A 20,132-nucleotide genomic window follows, 5' to 3' on the forward strand; every position below is an offset into this window, starting at 1 on the left:
CTGCCTCCGGGTTCAAGCAATTCTTCTGCCTCAGCCTCCTGAGTAATTGGGATTACAGGTGCCCACCACCATGCCCAGCTAATTTTTGTATTTTCAGTAGAGACAGGGTTTCACCATATTGGCCAGGCTGGTCTTGAACTCCTGACCTCAGGTCTAGACTAAGAAGAGAGTTCTCAGTAACTTTTTTGTGTTGTGTGTATTCAACTCACAGAGTTGAACCTTGCTTTAGAGAGAGCAGATTTGAAACACTCTTGCTGTGGCATTTTCAGGTGGAGATTTCAAGCGATTTGAGGACAATTGCAGAAAAGGAAATATCTTCGTATAATAACCAGACAGAATCATTCTCAGAAAGTGCTTTGTGATGTGTGCGTTCCACTCACAGAGTTTAACCTTTCTTTTCATAGAGGAGTTTGGAAACACACTGTTTGTAAAGTCTGCAAGTGGATATATGGACCTGTTTGAGGCCTTCGTTGGAAACGGGATTTCTTCATTGAATGCTAGACGGAAGAATTCTCAGTAAATTCTTTGTGTTGTGTGCATTCAACTCACAGAGTGGAACGTCCCTTTAGACAGAGCAGATTTGAAACACTCTTTTTGCGGAATTTGCAAGTGGAGATTTCTAGCCATTTGATGCCAACAGTAGAAAGGGAAATATCTTCAAATAAAAACCAGACAGAATCATTCTCAGAAAATTCTTTGTGATGTGTGCGTTCAACTCACATAGTTTAACCTTTCTTTTCATAGAGCAGTTTGGAAACACTCTGTTTGTAAAGTCTGCAAGTGGATATATGGACCGCATTGAGGCTTTCGTTGGAAACGGGATTTCTTCATTTCATGCTAGACAGAAGAATTCTCAGTAACTTCTTTGTGCTGTGTGTTTTCAACTCACAGAGTGGAACGTCCCTTTACACAGAGCAGATTTGAAACACTCTTTTTGTGGAGTTTGCAAGTGGAGATTTCAAGCGATTTGATGCCAACAGTAGAAAAGGAAATATCTTCAAATAAAAACTAGACAGAATCATTCTCAGAAACTACTTTGTGATGTGTGCCTTCAACTCACAGAGTTTAACCTTTCTTTTCTTAGAACACTTTAGAAACACTCTGCTTGTTATGTCTGCAAGTGGATATTTGGACCTCTTTGAGGCCTTCGTTGCAAACGGGGTTTCTTCCTTTCATGCTAGACTAAGAAGAGTTCTCAGTAACTTTTTTGTGTTGTGTGTATTCAACTCACAGAGTTGAACCTTGCTTTAGAGAGAGCAGATTTGAAACACTCTTGCTGTGGCATTTTCAGGTGGAGATTTCAAGCGATTTGAGGACAATTGCAGAAAAGGAAATATCTTCGTATAATAACCAGACAGAATCATTCTCAGAAAGTGCTTTGTGATGTGTGCGTTCCACTCACAGAGTTTAACCTTTCTTTTCATAGAGGAGTTTGGAAACACACTGTTTGTAAAGTCTGCAAGTGGATATATGGACCTGTTTGAGGCCTTCGTTGGAAACGGGATTTCTTCATTGAATGCTAGACGGAAGAATTCTCAGTAAATTATTTGTGTTGTGTGCATTCAACTCACAGAGTGGAACGTCCCTTTAGACAGAGCAGATTTGAAACACTCTTTTTGCGGAATTTGCAAGTGGAGATTTCTAGCCATTTGATGCCAACAGTAGAAAGGGAAATATCTTCAAATAAAAACCAGACAGAATCATTCTCAGAAAATTCTTTGTGATGTGTGCGTTCAACTCACATAGTTTAACCTTTCTTTTCATAGAGCAGTTTGGAAACACTCTGTTTGTAAAGTCTGCAAGTGGATATATGGACCGCATTGAGGCCTTCGTTGGAAACGGGATTTCTTCATTTCATGCTAGACAGAAGAATTCTCAGTAACTTCTTTGTGCTGTGTGTATTCAACTCACAGAGTGGAACGTCCCTTTGCACAGAGCAGATTTGAAACACTCTTTTTGTGGAATTTGCAAGTGGAGATTTCAAGCGATTTGATGCCAACAGTAGAAAAGGAAATATCTTCAAATAAAAACTAGACAGAATCATTCTCAGAAACTACTTTGTGATGTGTGCCTTCAACTCACAGAGTTTAACCTTTCTTTTCTTAGAGCAGTTTAGAAACACTCTGCTTGTTATGTCTGCAAGTGGATATTTGGACCTCTTTGAGGCCTTCGTTGCAAACGGGGTTTCTTCCTTTCATGCTAGACTAAGAAGAGTTCTCAGTAACTTTTTTGTGTTGTGTGTATTCAACTCACAGAGTTGAACCTTGCTTTAGAGAGAGCAGATTTGAAACACTCTTGCTGTGGCATTTTCAGGTGGAGATTTCAAGCGATTTGAGGACAATTGCAGAAAAGGAAATATCTTCGTATAACAACCAGACAGAATCATTCTCAGAAAGTGCTTTGTGATGTGTGCGTTCAACTCACAGAGTTTAACCTTTCTTTTCATAGAGGAGTTTGGAAACACACTGTTTGTAAAGTCTGCAATTGGATATATGGACCTGTTTGAGGCCTTCGTTGGAAACGGGATTTCTTCATTGAATGCTAGACGGAAGAATTCTCAGTAAATTCTTTGTGTGGTGTGCATTCAACTCACAGAGTGGAACGTCCCTTTAGACAGAGCAGATTTGAAACACTCTTTTTGCGGAATTTGCAAGTGGAGATTTCTAGCCATTTGATGCCAACAGTAGAAAGGGAAATATCTTCAAATAAAAACCAGACAGAATCATCCTTAGAAAATTCTTTGTGATGTGTGCGTTCAACTCACATAGTTTAACCTTTCTTTTCATAGAGCAGTTTCGAATCACTCTGTTGGTAATGTCTGCAAGTGGATGTATGGACGGATTTGAGGCCTTCGTTGGAAACGGGATTTCTTCATTTCATGCTAGACAGAAGAATTCTCAGTAACTTCTTTGTGTTGTGTGTATTCAACTCACAGATTGGAACGTCCCTTTACACAGAGCAGATTTGAAACACTCTTTTTGTGGAACTTGCAAGTGGAGATTTCAAGCGATTTGATGCCAACAGTAGAAAAGGAAATATCTGCAAATAAAAACTAGACAGAATCATTCTCAGAAACTACTTTGTGATGTGTGCCTTCAACTCACAGAGTTTAACCTTTCTTTTCTTAGAGCAGTTTAGAAACACTCTGCTTGTTATGTCTGCAAGTGGATATTTGGACCTCTTTGAGGCCTTCGTTGCAAACGGGGTTTCTTCCTTTAATGCTAGACTAAGAAGAGTTCTCAGTAACTTTTTTGTGTTGTGTGTATTCAACTCACAGAGTTGAACCTTGCTTTAGAGAGAGCAGATTTGAAACACTCTCGCTGTGGAATTTTCAGGTGGAGATTTCAAACGATTTGAGGACAATTGCAGAAAAGGAAATATCTTCGTATAATAACCAGACAGAAATCATTCTCAGAAAGTGCTTTGTGATGTGTGCATTCAACTCACAGAGTTTAACCTTTCTTTTCATTGAGGAGTTTGGAAACACACTGTTTGTAAAGTCTGCAATTGGATATATGGACCTGTTTGAGGCCTTCGTTGGAAACGGGATTTCTTCATTGAATGCTAGACGGAAGAATTCTCAGTAAATTCTTTGTGTTGTGTGCATTCAACTCACAGAGTGGAACGTCCCTTTAGACAGAGCAGATTTGAAACACTCTTTTTGCGGAATTTGCAAGTGGAGATTTCTAGCCATTTGATGCCAACAGTAGAAAGGGAAATATCTTCAAATAAAAACCAGACAGAATCATTCTCAGAAAATTCTTCGTGATGTGTGCGTTCAACTCACATAGTTTAACCTTTCTTTTCATAGAGCAGTTTGGAAACACTCTGTTTGTAAAGTCTGCAAGTGGATATATGGACCGCATTGAGGCCTTCGTTGGAAACGGGATTTCTTCATTTCATGCTAGACAGAAGAATTCTCAGTAACTTCTTTGTGCTGTGTGTATTCAACTCACAGAGTGGAACGTCCCTTTACACAGAGCAGATTTGAAACACTCTTTTTGTGGAGTTTGCAAGTGGAGATTTCAAGCGATTTGATGCCAACAGTAGAAAAGGAAATATCTTCAAATAAAAACTAGACAGAATCATTCTAAGAAACTACTTTGTGATGTGTGCCTTCAACTCACAGAGTTTAACCTTTCTTTTCTTAGAGCAGTTTAGAAACACTCTGCTTGTTATGTCTGCAAGTGGATATTTGGACCTCTTTGAGGCCTTCGTTGCAAACGGGGTTTCTTCCTTTCATGCTAGACTAAGAAGAGTTCTCAGTAACTTTTTTGTGTTGTGTGTATTCAACTCACAGAGTTGAACCTTGCTTTAGAGAGAGCAGATTTGAAACACTCTTGCTGTGGCATTTTCAGGTGGAGATTTCAAGCGATTTGAGGACAATAGCAGAAAAGGAAATATCTTCGTATAATAACCAGACAGAATCATTCTCAGGAAGTGCTTTGTGATGTGTGCGTTCATCTCACAGAGTTTAACCTTTCTTTTCATAGAGGAGTTTGGAAACACACTGTTTGTAAAGTCTGCAAGTGGATATATGGACCTGTTTGAGACCTTCGTTGGAAACGGGATTTCTTCATTGAATGCTAGACGGAAGAATTCTCAGTAAATTCTTTGTGTTGTGTGCATTCAACTCACAGAGTGGAACGTCCCTTTAGACAGAGCAGATTTGAAACACTCTTTTTGCGGAATTTGCAAGTGGAGATTTCTAGCCATTTGATGCCAAGAGTAGAAAGGGAAATATCTTCAAATAAAAACCAGACAGAATCATTCTCAGAAAATTCTTTGTGATGTGTGCGTTCAACTCACATAGTTTAACCTTTCTTTTCATAGAGCAGTTTGGAAACACTCTGTTTGTAAAGTCTGCAAGTGGATATATGGACCGCATTGAGGCCTTCGTTGGAAACGGGATTTCTTCATTTCATGCTAGACAGAAGAATTCTCAGTAACTTCTTTGTGCTGTGTGTATTCAACTCACAGAGTGGAACGTCCCTTTGCACAGAGCAGATTTGAAACACTCTTTTTGTGGAATTTGCAAGTGGAGATTTCAAGCGATTTGATGCCAACAGTAGAAAAGGAAATATCTTCAAATAAAAACTAGACAGAATCATTCTCAGAAACTACTTTGTGATGTGTGCCTTCAACTCACAGAGTTTAACCTTTCTTTTCTTAGAGCAGTTTAGAAACACTCTGCTTGTTATGTCTGCAAGTGGATATTTGGACCTCTTTGAGGCCTTCGTTGCAAACGGGGTTTCTTCCTTTCATGCTAGACTAAGAAGAGTTCTCAGTAACTTTTTTGTGTTGTGTGTATTCAACTCACAGAGCTGAACCTTGCTTTAGAGAGAGCAGATTTGAAACACTCTTGCTGTGGCATTTTCAGGTGGAGATTTCAAGCGATTTGAGGACAATTGCAGAAAAGGAAATATCTTCGTATAACAACCAGACAGAATCATTCTCAGAAAGTGCTTTTTGATGTGTGCGTTCAACTCACAGAGTTTAACCTTTCTTTTCATAGAGGAGTTTGGAAACACACTGTTTGTAAAGTCTGCAATTGGATATATGGACCTGTTTGAGGCCTTCGTTTGAAACGGGATTTCTTCATTGAATGCTAGACGGAAGAATTCTCAGTAAATTCTTTGTGTGGTGTGCATTCAACTCACAGAGTGGAACGTCCCTTTAGACAGAGCAGATTTGAAACACTATTTTTGCGGAATTTGCAAGTGGAGATTTCTAGCCATTTGATGCCAACAGTAGAAAGGGAAATATCTTCAAATAAAAACCAGACAGAATCATTCTCAGAAAATTCTTTGTGATGTGTGCGTTCAACTCACATAGTTTAACCTTTCTTTTCATAGAGCAGTTTGGAAACACTCTGTTTGTAAAGTCTGCAAGTGGATATATGGACCGCATTGAGGCCTTCGTTGGAAACGGGATTTCTTCATTTCATGCTAGACAGAAGAATTCTCAGTAACTTCTTTGTGCTGTGTGTATTCAACTCACAGAGTGGAACGTCCCTTTGCACAGAGCAGATTTGAAACACTCTTTTTGTGGAATTTGCAAGTGGAGATTTCAAGCGATTTGATGCCAACAGTAGAAAAGGAAATATCTTCAAATAAAAACTAGACAGAATCATTCTCAGAAACTACTTTGTGATGTGTGCCTTCAACTCACAGAGTTTAACCTTTCTTTTCTTAGAGCAGTTTAGAAACACTCTGCTTGTTATGTCTGCAAGTGGATATTTGGACCTCTTTGAGGCCTTCGTTGCAAACGGGGTTTCTTCCTTTCATGCTAGACTAAGAAGAGTTCTCAGCAACTTTTTTGTGTTGTGTGTATTCAACTCACAGAGTTGAACCTTGCTTTAGAGAGAGCAGATTTGAAACACTCTTGCTGTGGCATTTTCAGGTGGAGATTTCAAGCGATTTGAGGACAATTGCAGAAAAGGAAATATCTTCGTATAATAACCAGACAGAATCATTCTCAGAAAGTGCTTTGTGATGTGTGCGTTCAACTCACAGAGTTTAACCTTTCTTTTCATAGAGGAGTTTGGAAACACACTGTTTGTAAAGTCTGCAATTGGATATATGGACCTGTTTGAGGCCTTCGTTGGAAACGGGATTTCTTCATTGAATGCTAGACGGAAGAATTCTCAGTAAATACTTTGTGTTGTGTGCATTCAACTGACAGAGTGGAACGTCCCTTTAGACAGAGCAGATTTGAAACACTCTTTTTGCGGAATTTGCAAGTGGAGATTTCTAGCCATTTGATGCCAACAGTAGAAAGGGAAATATCTTCAAATAAAAACCAGACAGAATCATTCTCAGAAAATTCTTTGTGATGTGTGCGTTCAACTCACATAGTTTAACCTTTCTTTTCATAGAGCAGTTTGGAAACACTCTGTTTGTAAAGTCTGCAAGTGGATATATGGACCGCATTGAGGCTTTCGTTGGAAACGGGATTTCTTCATTTCATGCTAGACAGAAGAATTCTCAGTAACTTCTTTGTGCTGTGTGTATTCAACTCACAGAGTGGAACGTCCCTTTACACAGAGCAGATTTGAAACACTCTTTTTGTGGAGTTTGCAAGTGGAGATTTCAAGCGATTTGATGCCAACAGTAGAAAAGGAAATATCTTCAAATAAAAACTGGACAGAATCATTCTCAGAAACTACTTTGTGATGTGTGCCTTCAACTCACAGAGTTTAACCTTTCTTTTCTTAGAGCAGTTTAGAAACACTCTGCTTGTTATGTCTGCAAGTGGATATTTGGACCTCTTTGAGGCCTTCGTTGCAAACGGGGTTTCTTCCTTTCATGCTAGACTAAGAAGAGTTCTCAGTAACCTTTTCTGTGTTGTGTGTATTCAACTCACAGAGTTGAACCTTGCTTTAGAGAGAGCAGATTTGAAACACTCTTGCTGTGACATTTTCAGGTGGAGATTTCAAGCGATTTGAGGACAATTGCAGAAAAGGAAATATCTTCGTATAACAACCAGACAGAATCATTCTCAGAAAGTGCTTTGTGATGTGTGCGTTCAACTCACAGAGTTTAACCTTTCTTTTCATAGAAGAGTTTGGAAACACACTGTTTGTAAAGTCTGCTAGTGGATATATGGACCTGTTTGAGGCCTTCGTTGGAAACGGGATTTCTTCATTTCATGCTAGACAGAAGAATTCTCAGTAACTTCTTTGTATTGTGTGTATTCTACTCACAGATTGGAACGTCCCTTTACACAGAGCAGATTTGAAACACTCTGTTTGTGGAATTTGCAAGTGGAGATTTCAAGCGATTTGATGCCAACAGTAGAAAAGGAAATATCTGCAAATAAAAACTAGACAGAATCATTCTCAGAAAGTGCTTTGTGATGTGTGCGTTCAACTCACAGAGTTTAACCTTTCTTTTCATAGAGCAGTTTGGAAACACTCTGTTTGTAAAGTCTGCAAGTGGATATATGGACCGCATTGAGGCCTTCGTTGGAAACGGGATTTCTTCATTTCATGCTAGACAGAAGAATTCTCAGTAACTTCTTTGTGCTGTGTGTATTCAACTCACAGAGTGGAACGTCCCTTTGCACAGAGCAGATTTGAAACACTCTTTTTGTGGAGTTTGCAAGTGGAGATTTCAAGCGATTTGATGCCAACAGTAGAAAAGGAAGTATCTTCAAATAAAAACTAGACAGAATCATTCTCAGAAACTACTTTGTGATGTGTGCCTTCAACTCACCGAGTTTAACCTTTCTTTTCTGAGAGCAGCTTAGAAACACTCTGCTTGTTATGTCTGCAAGTTGATATTTGGACCTCTTTGAGGCCTTCGTTGCAAACGGGGTTTCTTCATTTAATGCTAGACTAAGAAGAGTTCTCAGTAACTTTTTTGTGTTGTGTGTATTCAACTCACAGAGTTGAACCTTGCTTTAGAGAGAGCAGATTTGAAACACTCTTGCTGTGGCATTTTCAGGTGGAGATTTCAAGCGTTTTGAGGACAATTGCAGAAAAGGAAATATCTTCGTATAATAACCAGACAGAATCATTCTCAGAAAGTGCTTTGTGATGTGTGCGTTCCACTCACAGAGTTTAACCTTTCTTTTCATAGAGGAGTTTGGAAACACACTGTTTGTAAACTCTGCAAGTGGATATATGGACCTGTTTGAGGCCTTCATTGGAAACGGGATTTCTTCATTGAATGCTAGACGGAAGAATTCTCAGTAAATTCTTTGTGTTGTGTGCATTCAACTCACAGAGTGGAACGTCCCTTTAGACAGAGCAGATTTGAAACACTCTTTTTGCGGAATTTGCAAGTGGAGATTTCTAGCCATTTGATGCCAACAGTAGAAAGGGAAATATCTTCAAATAAAAACCAGACAGAATCATTCTCAGAAAATTCTTTGTGATGTGTGCGTTCAACTCACATAGTTTAACCTTTCTTTTCATAGAGCAGTTTGGAAACACTCTGTTTGTAAAGTCTGCAAGTGGATATATGGACCGCATTGAGGCCTTCGTTGGAAACGGGATTTCTTCATTTCATGCTAGACAGAAGAATTCTCAGTAACTTCTTTGTGCTGTGTGTATTCAACTCACAGAGTGGAACGTCCCTTTGCACAGAGCAGATTTGAAACACTCTTTTTGTGGAGTTTGCAAGTGGAGATTTCAAGCGATTTGATGCCAACAGTAGAAAAGGAAATATCTTCAAATAAAAACTAGACAGAATCATTCTCAGAAACTACTTTGTGATGTGTGCCTTCAACTCACAGAGTTTAACCTTTCTTTTCTTAGAGCAGTTTAGAAACACTCTGCTTGTTATGTCTGCAAGTGGATATTTGGACCTCTTTGAGGCCTTCGTTGCAAACGGGGTTTCTTCTTTTAATGCTAGACTAAGAAGAGTTCTCAGTAACTTTTTTGTGTTGTGTGTATTCAACTCACAGAGTTGAACCTTGCTTTAGAGAGAGCAGATTTGAAACCCTCTTGCTGTGGCATTTTCAGGTGGAGATTTCAAGCGATTTGAGGACAATTGCAGAAAAGGAAATATCTTCGTATAATAACCAGACAGAATCATTCTCAGAAAGTGCTTTGTGATGTGTGCGTTCCACTCACAGAGTTTAACCTTTCTTTTCATAGAGGAGTTTGGAAACACACTGTGTGTAAACTCTGCAAGTGGATATATGGACCTGTTTGAGGCCTTCGTTGGAAACGGGATTTCTTCATTGAATGCTAGACGGAAGAATTCTCAGTAAATTCTTTGTGTTGTGTGCATTCAACTCACAGAGTGGAACGTCCCTTTAGACAGAGCAGATTTGAAACACTCTTTTTGCGGAATTTGCAAGTGGAGATTTCTAGCCATTTGATGCCAACAGTAGAAAGGGAAATATCTTCAAATAAAAACCAGACAGAATCATTCTCAGAAAATTCTTTGTGATGTGTGCGTTCAACTCACATAGTTTAACCTTTCTTTTCATAGAGCAGTTTGGAAACACTCTGTTTGTAAAGTCTGCAAGTGGATCTATGGACCGCATTGAGGCCTTCGTTGGAAACGGGATTTCTTCATTTCATGCTAGACAGAAGAATTCTCAGTAACTTCTTTGTGCTGTGTGTATTCAACTCACAGAGTGGAACGTCCCTTTGCACAGAGCAGATTTGAAACACTCTTTTTGTGGAGTTTGCAAGTGGAGATTTCAAGCGATTTGATGCCAACAGTAGAAAAGGAAATATCTTCAAATAAAAACTAGACAGAATCATCCTCAGAAAATTCTTTGTGATGTGTGCGTTCAACTCACATAGTTTAACCTTTCTTTTCATAGAGCAGTTTGGAAACACTCTGTTTGTAATGTCTGCAAGTGGATATATGGACCGCATTGAGGCCTTCTTTGGAAACGGGATTTCTTCATTTCATGCTAGACAGAAGAATTCTCAGTAACTTCTTTGTGTTGTGTGTATTCAACACACAGATTGGAACGTCCCTTTACACAGAGCAGATTTGAAACACTCTTTTTGTGGAATCTGCAAGTGGAGATTTCAAGCGATTTGATGCCAACAGTAGAAAAGGAAATATCTGCAAATAAAAACTAGACAGAATCATTCTCAGAAAGTGCTTTGTGATGTGTGCGTTCAACTCACAGAGTTTTACCTTTCTTTTCATAGAGGAGTTTGGAAACACACTGTTTGTAAAGTCTTCAATTGGATATATGGACCTGTTTGAGGCCTTCGTTGGAAACGGGATTTCTTCATTGAATGCTAGACGGAAGAATTCTCAGTAAATTCTTTGTGTTGTGTGCATTCAACTCACAGAGTGGAACGTCCCTTTAGACAGAGCAGATTTGAAACACTCTTTTTGCGGAATTTGCAAGTGGAGATTTCTAGCCATTTGATGCCAACAGTAGAAAGGGAAATATCTTCAAATAAAAACTAGACAGAATCATTCTCAGAAACTACTTTGTGATGTGTGCCTTCAACTCACAGAGTTTAACCTTTCTTTTCTTAGAGCAGTTTAGAAACACTCTGCTTGTTATGTCTGCAAGTGGATATTTGGACCTCTTTGAGGCCTTCGTTGCAAACGGGGTTTCTTCCTTTAATGCTAGACTAAGAAGAGTTCTCAGTAACTTTTTTGTGTTGTGTGTATTCAACTCACAGAGTTGAACCTTGCTTTAGAGAGAGCAGATTTGAAACACTCTTGCTGTGGCATTTTCAGGTGGAGATTTCAAGCGATTTGAGGACAATTGCAGAAAAGGAAATATCTTCGTATAACAACCAGACAGAATCATTCTCAGAAAGTGCTTTGTGATGTGTGCGTTCAACTCACAGAGTTTAATCTTTCTTTTCATAGAGGAGTTTGGAAACACACTGTTTGTAAAGTCTGCAATTGGATATATGGACCTGTTTGAGGCCTTCGTTGGAAACGGGATTTCTTCATTGAATGCTAGACGGAAGAATTCTCAGTAAATTCTTCGTGTTGTGTGCATTCAACTCACAGAGTGGAACGTCCCTTTAGACAGAGCAGATTTGAAACACTCTTTTTGCGGAATTTGCAAGTGGAGATTTCTAGCCATTTGATGCCAACAGTAGAAAGGGAAATATCTTCAAATAAAAACCAGACAGAATCATTCTCAGAAAATTCTTTGTGATGTGTGCGTTCAACTCACATAGTTTAACCTTTCTTTTCATAGAGCAGTTTGGAAACACTCTGTTTGTAAAGTCTGCAAGTGGATATATGGACCGCATTGAGGCCTTCGTTGGAAACGGGATTTCTTCATTTCATGCTAGACAGAAGAATTCTCAGTAACTTCTTTGTGCTGTGTGTATTCAACTCATAGAGTGGAACGTCCCTTTACACAGAGCAGATTTGAAACACTCTTTTTGTGGAGTTTGCAAGTGGAGATTTCAAGCGATTTGATGCCAACAGTAGAAAAGGAAATATCTTCAAATAAAAACTAGACAGAATCATTCTCAGAAACTACTTTGTGATGTGTGCCTTCAACTCACAGAGTTTAACCTTTCTTTTCTTAGAGCAGTTTAGAAACACTCTGCTTGTTATGTCTGCAAGTGGATATTTGGACCTCTTTGAGGCCTTCGTTGCAAACGGGGTTTCTTCCTTTCATGCTAGACTAAGAAGAGTTCTCAGTAACTTTTTTGTGTTGTGTGTATTCAACTCACAGAGTTGAACCTTGCTTTAGAGAGAGCAGATTTGAAACACTCTTGCTGTGGCATTTTCAGGTGGAGATTTCAAGCGATTTGAGGACAATTGCAGAAAAGGAAATATCTTCGTATAACAACCAGACAGAATCATTCTCAGAAAGTGCTTTGTGATGTGTGCGTTCAACTCACAGAGTTTAACCTTTCTTTTCATAGAGGAGTTTGGAAACACACTGTTTGTAAAGTCTGCAATTGGATATATGGACCTGTTTGAGGCCTTCGTTGGAAACGGGATTTCTTCATTGAATGCTAGACGGAAGAATTCTCAGTAAATTCTTTGTGTTGTGTGCATTCAACTCACAGAGTGGAACGTCCCTTTAGACAGAGCAGATTTGAAACACTCTTTTTGCGGAATTTGCAAGTGGAGATTTCTAGCCATTTGATGCCAACAGTAGAAAGGGAAATATCTTCAAATAAAAACCAGACAGAATCATTCTCAGAAAATTCTTTGTGATGTGTGCCTTCAACTCACAGAGTTTAACCTTTCTTTTCTTAGAGCAGTTTAGAAACACTCTGCTTGTTATGTCTGCAAGTGGATATTTGGACCTCTTTGAGGCCTTCGTTGCAAACGGGGTTTTTTCCTTTAATGCTAGACTAAGAAGAGTTCTCAGTAACTTTTTTGTGTTGTGTGTATTCAACTCACAGAGTTGAACCTTGCTTTAGAGAGAGCAGATTTGAAACACTCTTGCTGTGGCATTTTCAGGTGGAGATTTCAAGCGATTTGAGGACAATTGCAGAAAAGGAAATATCTTCGTATAATAACCAGACAGAATCATTCTCAGAAAGTGCTTTGTGATGTGTGCGTTCAACTCACAGAGTTTAACCTTTCTTTTCATAGAGGAGTTTGGAAACACACTGTTTGTAAAGTCTGCAATTGGATATATGGACCTGTTTGAGGCCTTCGTTGGAAACGGGATTTCTTCATTGCATGCTAGACGGAAGAATTCTCAGTAAATTCTTTGTGTTGTGTGCATTCAACTGACAGAGTGGAACGTCTCTTTAGACAGAGCAGATTTGAAACACTCTTTTTGCGGAATTTGCAAGTGGAGATTTCTAGCCATTTGATGCCAACAGTAGAAAGGGAAATATCTTCAAATAAAAACCAGACAGAATCATTCTCAGAAAATTCTTTGTGATGTGTGCGTTCAACTCACATAGTTTAACCTTTCTTTTCATAGAGCAGTTTGGAAACACTCTGTTTGTAAAGTCTGCAAGTGGATATATGGACCGCATTGAGGCCTTCGTTGGAAACGGGATTTCTTCATTTCATGCTAGACAGAAGAATTCTCAGTAACTTCTTTGTGCTGTGTGTATTCAACTCACAGAGTGGAACGTCCCTTTGCACAGAGCAGATTTGAAACACTCTTTTTGTGGAATTTGCAAGTGGAGATTTCAAGCGATTTGATGCCAACAGTAGAAAAGGAAATATCTGCAAATAAAAACTAGACAGAATCATTCTCAGAAACTACTTTGTGATGTGTGCCTTCAACTCACAGAGTTTAACCTTTCTTTTCTTAGAGCAGTTTAGAAACACTCTGCTTGTTATGTCTGCAAGTGGATATTTGGACCTCTTTGAGGCCTTCGTTGCAAACGGGGTTTCTTCCTTTAATGCTAGACTAAGAAGAGTTCTCAGTAACTTTTTTGTGTTGTGTGTATTCAACTCACAGAGTTGAACCTTGCTTTAGAGAGAGCAGATTTGAAACACTCTTGCTGTGGCATTTTCAGGTGGAGATTTCAAGCGATTTGAGGACAATTGCAGAAAAGGAAATATCTTCGTATAACAACCAGACAGAATCATTCTCAGAAAGTGCTTTGTGATGTGTGCGTTCAACTCACAGAGTTTAACCTTTCTTTTCATTGAGGAGTTTGGAAACACACTGTTTGTAAAGTCTGCAATTGGATATATGGACCTGTTTGAGGCCTTCGTTGGAAACGGGATTTCTTCATTGAATGCTAGACGGAAGAATTCTCAGTAAATTCTTTGTGTTGTGGGCATTCAACTGACAGAGTGGAACGTCCCTTAAGACAGAGCAGATTTGAAACACTCTTTTTGCGGAATTTGCAAGTGGAGATTTCTAGCCATTTGATGCCAACAGTAGAAAGGGAAATATCTTCAAATAAAAACCAGACAGAATCATTCTCAGAAAATTCTTTGTGATGTGTGCGTTCAACTCACATAGTTTAACCTTTCTTTTCATAGAGCAGTTTGGAAACACTCTGTTTGTAAAGTCTGCAAGTGGATATATGGACCGCATTGAGGCCTTCGTTGGAAACGGGATTTCTTCATTTCATGCTAGACAGAAGAATTCTCAGTAACTTCTTTGTGCTGTGTGTATTCAACTCACAGAGTGGAACGTCCCTTTGCACAGAGCAGATTTGAAACACTCTTTTTGTGGAATTTGCAAGTGGAGATTTCAAGCGATTTGATGCCAACAGTAGAAAAGGAAATATCTTCAAATAAAAACTAGACAGAATCATTCTCAGAAACTACTTTGTGATGTGTGCCTTCAACTCACAGAGTTTAACCTTTCTTTTCTTAGAGCAGTTTAGAAACACTCTGCTTGTTATGTCTGCAAGTGGATATTTGGACCTCTTTGAGGCCTTCGTTGCAAACGGGGTTTCTTCTTTCATGCTAGACTAAGAAGAGTTCTCAGTAACTTTTTTGTGTTGTGTGTATTCAACTCACAGAGTTGAACCTTGCTTTAGAGAGAGCAGATTTGAAACACTCTTGCTGTGGCATTTTCAGGTGGAGATTTCAAGCGATTTGAGGACAATTGCAGAAAAGGAAATATCTTCGTATAATAACCAGACAGAATCATTCTCAGAAAGTGCTTTGTGATGTGTGCGTTCCACTCACAGAGTTTAACCTTTCTTTTCATAGAGGAGTTTGGAAACACACTGTTTGTAAAGTCTGCAAGTGGATATATGGACCTGTTTGAGGCCTTCGTTGGAAACGGGATTTCTTCATTGAATGCTAGACGGAAGAATTCTCAGTAAATTCTTTGTGTTGTGTGCATTCAACTCACAGAGTGGAACGTCCCTTTAGACACAGCAGATTTGAAACACTCTTTTTGCGGAATTTGCAAGTGGAGATTTCTAGCCATTTGATGCCAACAGTAGAAAGGGAAATATCTTCAAATAAAAACCAGACAGAATCATTCTCAGAAAATTCTTTGTGATGTGTGCGTTCAACTCACATAGTTTAACCTTTCTTTTCATAGAGCAGTTTGGGAACACTCTGTTGGTAATGTCTGCAAGTGGATATATGGACCGCTTTGAGGCCTTCGTTGGAAACGGGATTTCTTCATTTCATGCTAGACAGAAGAATTCTCAGTAACTTCTTTGTGCTGTGTGTATTCAACTCACAGAGTGGAACGTCCCTTTGCACAGAGCAGATTTGAAACACTCTTTTTGTGGAGTTTGCAAGTGGAGATTTCAAGCGATTTGATGCCAACAGTAGAAAAGGAAATATCTTCAAATAAAAACTAGACAGAATCATTCTCAGAAACTGCTTTGTGATGTGTGCCTTCAACTCACAGAGTTTAACCTTTCTTTTCTTAGAGCAGTTTAGAAACACTCTGCTTGTTATGTCTGCAAGTGGATATTTGGACCTCTTTGAGGCCTTCGTTGCAAACGGGGTTTCTTCCTTTCATGCTAGACTAAGAAGAGTTCTCAGTAACTTTTTTGTGCTGTGTGTATTCAACTCACAGAGTTGAACCTTGCTTTAGAGAGAGCAGATTTGAAACACTCTTGCTGTGGCATTTTCAGGTGGAGATTTCAAGCGATTTGAGGACAATTGCAGAAAAGGAAATATCTTCGTATAATAACCAGACAGAATCATTCTCAGAAAGTGCTTTGTGATGTGTGCGTTCCACTCACAGAGTTTAACCTTTCTTTTCATAGAGGAGTTTGGAAACACACTGTTTGTAAAGTCTGCAAGTGGATATATGGACCTGTTTGAGGCCTTCGTTGGAAACGGGATTTCTTCATTGAATGCTAGACGGAAGAATTCTCAGTAAATTCTTTGTGTTGTGTGCATTCAACTCACAGAGTGGAACGTCCCTTTAGACAGAGCAGATTTGAAACACTCTTTTTGCGGAATTTGCAAGTGGAGATTTCTAGCCATTTGATGCCAACAGTAGAAAGGGAAATATCTTCAAATAAAAACCAGACAGAATCATTCTCAGAAAATTCTTTGTGATGTGTGCGTTCAACTCACATAGTTTAACCTTTCTTTTCATAGAGCAGTTTGGAAACACTCTGTTTGTAAAGTCTGCAAGTGGATCTATGGACCGCATTGAGGCCTTCGTTGGAAACGGGATTTCTTCATTTCATGCTAGACAGAAGAATTCTCAGTAACTTCTTTGTGCTGTGTGTATTCAACTCACAGAGTGGAACATCCCTTTACACAGAGCAGATTTGAAACACTCTTTTTGTGGAGTTTGCAAGTGGAGATTTCAAGCGATTTGATGCCAACAGTAGAAAATGAAATATCTTCAAATAAAAACTAGACAGAATCATTCTCAGAAACTACTTTGTGATGTGTGCCTTCAACTCACAGAGTTTAACCTTTCTTTTCTTAGAGCAGTTTAGAAACACTCTGCTTGTTATGTCTGCAAGTGGATATTTGGACCTCTTTGAGGCCTTCGTTGCAAAAGGGGTTTCTTCCTTTAATGCTAGACTAAGAAGAGTTCTCAGTAACTTTTTTGTGTTGTGTGTATTCAACTCACAGAGTTGAACCTTGCTTTAGAGAGAGCAGATTTGAAACACTCTTGCTGTGGCATTTTCAGGTGGAGATTTCAAGCGATTTGAGGACAATTGCAGAAAAGGAAATATCTTCGTATAATAACCAGACAGAATCATTCTCAGAAAGTGCTTTGTGATGTGTGCGTTCAACTCACAGAGTTTAACCTTTCTTTTCATAGAGGAGTTTGGAAACACACTGTTTGTAAAGTCTGCAATTGGATATATGGACCTGTTTGAGGCCTTCGTTGGAAACGGGATTTCTTCATTGAATGCTAGACGGAAGAATTCTCAGTAAATTCTTTGTGTTGTGTGCATTCAACTCACAGAGTGGAACGTCCATTTAGACAGAGCAGATTTGAAACACTCTTTTTGCGGAATTTGCAAGTGGAGATTTCTAGCCATTTGATGCCAACAGTAGAAAGGGAAATATCTTCAAATAAAAACCAGACAGAATCATTCTCAGAAAATTCTTTGTGATGTGTGCGTTCAACTCACATAGTTTAACCTTTCTTTTCATAGAGCAGTTTGGAAACACTCTGTTTGTAAAGTCTGCAAGTGGATATATAGACCGCATTGAGGCCTTCGTTGGAAACGGGATTTCTTCATTTCGTGCTAGACAGAAGAATTCTCAGTAACTTCTTCGTGCTGTGTGTATTCAACTCACAGATTGGAACGTCCCTTTACACAGAGCAGATTTGAAACACTCTTTTTGTGGAGTTTGCAAGTGGAGATTTCAAGCGATTTGATGCCAACAGTAGAAAAGGAAATATCTTCAAATAAAAACTAGACAGAATCATTCTCAGAAACTACTTTGTGATGTGTGCCTTCAACTCAGAGTTTAACCTTTCTTTTCTTAGAGCAGTTTAGAAACACTCTGCTTGTTATGTCTGCAAGTGGATATTTGGACCTCTTTGAGGCCTTCGTTGCAAACGGTGTTTCTTCCTTTTATGCTAGACTAAGAAGAGTTCTCAGTAACTTTTTTGTGTTGTGTGTATTCAACTCACAGAGTTGAACCTTGCTTTAGAGAGAGCAGATTTGAAACACTCTTGCTGTGGCATTTTCAGGTGGAGATTTCAAGGGATTTGAGGACAATTGCAGAAAAGGAAATATCTTCGTATAATAACCAGACAGAATCATTCTCAGAAAGTGCTTTGTGATGTGTGCGTTCAACTCACAGAGTTTAACCTTTCTTTTCATAGAGGAGTTTGGAAACACACTGTTTGTAAAGTCTGCAATTGGATATATGGACCTGTTTGAGGCCTTCGTTGGAAACGGGATTTCTTCATTGAATGCTAGACGGAAGAATTCTCAGTAAATTCTTTGTGTTGTGTGCATTCAACTCACAGAGTGGAACGTCCCTTTAGACAGAGCAGATTTGAAACACTCTTTTTGCGGAATTTGCAAGTGGAGATTTCTAGCCATTTGATGCCAACAGTAGAAAGGGAAATATCTTCAAATAAAAACCAGACAGAATCATTCTCAGAAAATTCTTTGTGATGTGTGCGTTCAACTCACATAGTTTAACCTTTCTTTTCATAGAGCAGTTTGGAAACACTCTGTTTGTAAAGTCTGCAAGTGGATATATGGACCGCATTGAGGCCTTCGTTGGAAACGGGATTTCTTCATTTCATGCTAGACAGAAGAATTCTCAGTAACTTCTTTGTGCTGTGTGTATTCAACTCACAGAGTGGAACGTCCCTTTGAACAGAGCAGATTTGAAACACTCTTTTTGTGGAGTTTGCAAGTGGAGATTTCAAGCGATTTGATGCCAACAGTAGAAAAGGAAATATCTTCAAATAAAAACTAGACAGAATCATTCTCAGAAACTACTTTGTGATGTGTACCTTCAACTCACAGAGTTCAACCTTTCTTTTCTTAGAGCAGTTTAGAAACACTCTGCTTGTGATGTCTGCAAGTGGATATTTGGACCTCTTTGAGGCCTTCGTTGCAAACGGGGTTTCTTCCTTTCATGCTAGACTAAGAAGAGTTCTCAGTAACTTTTTTGTGTTGTGTGTATTCAACTCACAGAGTTGAACCTTGCTTTAGAGAGAGCAGATTTGAAACACTCTTGCTGTGGCATTTTCAGGTGGAGATTTCAAGCGTTTTGAGGACAATTGCAGAAAAGGAAATATCTTCGTATAATAACCAGACAGAATCATTCTCAGAAAGTGCTTTGTGATGTGTGCGTTCCACTCACAGAGTTTAACCTTTCTTTTCATAGAGGAGTTTGGAAACACACTGTTTGTAAACTCTGCAAGTGGATATATGGACCTGTTTGAGGCCTTCGTTGGAAACGGGATTTCTTCATTGAATGCTAGACGGAAGAATTCTCAGTAAATTCTTTGTGTTGTGTGCATTCAACTCACAGAGTGGAACGTCCCTTTAGACAGAGCAGATTTGAAACACTCTTTTTGCGGAATTTGCAAGTGGAGATTTCTAGCCATTTGATGCCAACAGTAGAAAGGGAAATATCTTCAAATAAAAACCAGACAGAATCATTCTCAGAAAATTCTTTGTGATGTGTGCGTTCAACTCACATAGTTTAACCTTTCTTTTCATAGAGCAGTTTGGAAACACTCTGTTTGTAAAGTCTGAAAGTGGATATATGGACCGCATTGAGGCCTTCGTTGGAAACGGGATTTCTTCATTTCATGCTAGACAGAAGAATTCTCAGTAACTTCTTTGTGCTGTGTGTATTCAACTCACAGAGTGGAACGTCCCTTTACACAGAGCAGATTTGAAACACTCTTTTTGTGGAGTTTGCAAGTGGAGATTTCAAGCGATTTGATGCCAACAGTAGAAAAGGAAATATCTTCAAATAAAAACTAGACAGAATCATTCTCAGAAACTACTTTGTGATGTGTGCCTTCAACTCACAGAGTTTAACCTTTCTTTTCTTAGAGCAGTTTAGAAACACTCTGCTTGTTATGTCTGCAAGTGGATATTTGGACCTCTTTGAGGCCTTCGTTGCAAACGGGGTTTCTTCCTTTCATGCTAGACTAAGAAGAGTTCTCAGTAACTTTTTTGTGTTGTGTGTATTCAACTCACAGAGTTGAACCTTGCTTTAGAGAGAGCAGATTTGAAACACTCTTGCTGTGGCATTTTCAGGTGGAGATTTCAAGCGATTTGAGGACAATTGCAGAAAAGGAAATATCTTCGTATAACAACCAGACAGAATCATTCTCAGAAAGTGCTTTGTGATGTGTGCGTTCCA

At 39.0% G+C, this 20,132-nt stretch overlaps 1 annotated feature.

Moving 5' to 3' along the window:
- Nucleotides 1-20,132: part of a centromere (Linear centromere model derived predominantly from reads generated in PMID: 17803354. This region does not represent an actual centromere sequence, as long-range ordering of repeats and unmapped WGS contigs is not provided by the model. For details of model production, see http://arxiv.org/abs/1307.0035.) that runs on past both edges of the window.

This window comes from Homo sapiens, chromosome 7 (genome assembly GCF_000001405.40).
Source record: "Homo sapiens chromosome 7, GRCh38.p14 Primary Assembly".
NCBI classification, from domain to species: domain Eukaryota; kingdom Metazoa; phylum Chordata; class Mammalia; order Primates; family Hominidae; genus Homo; species Homo sapiens.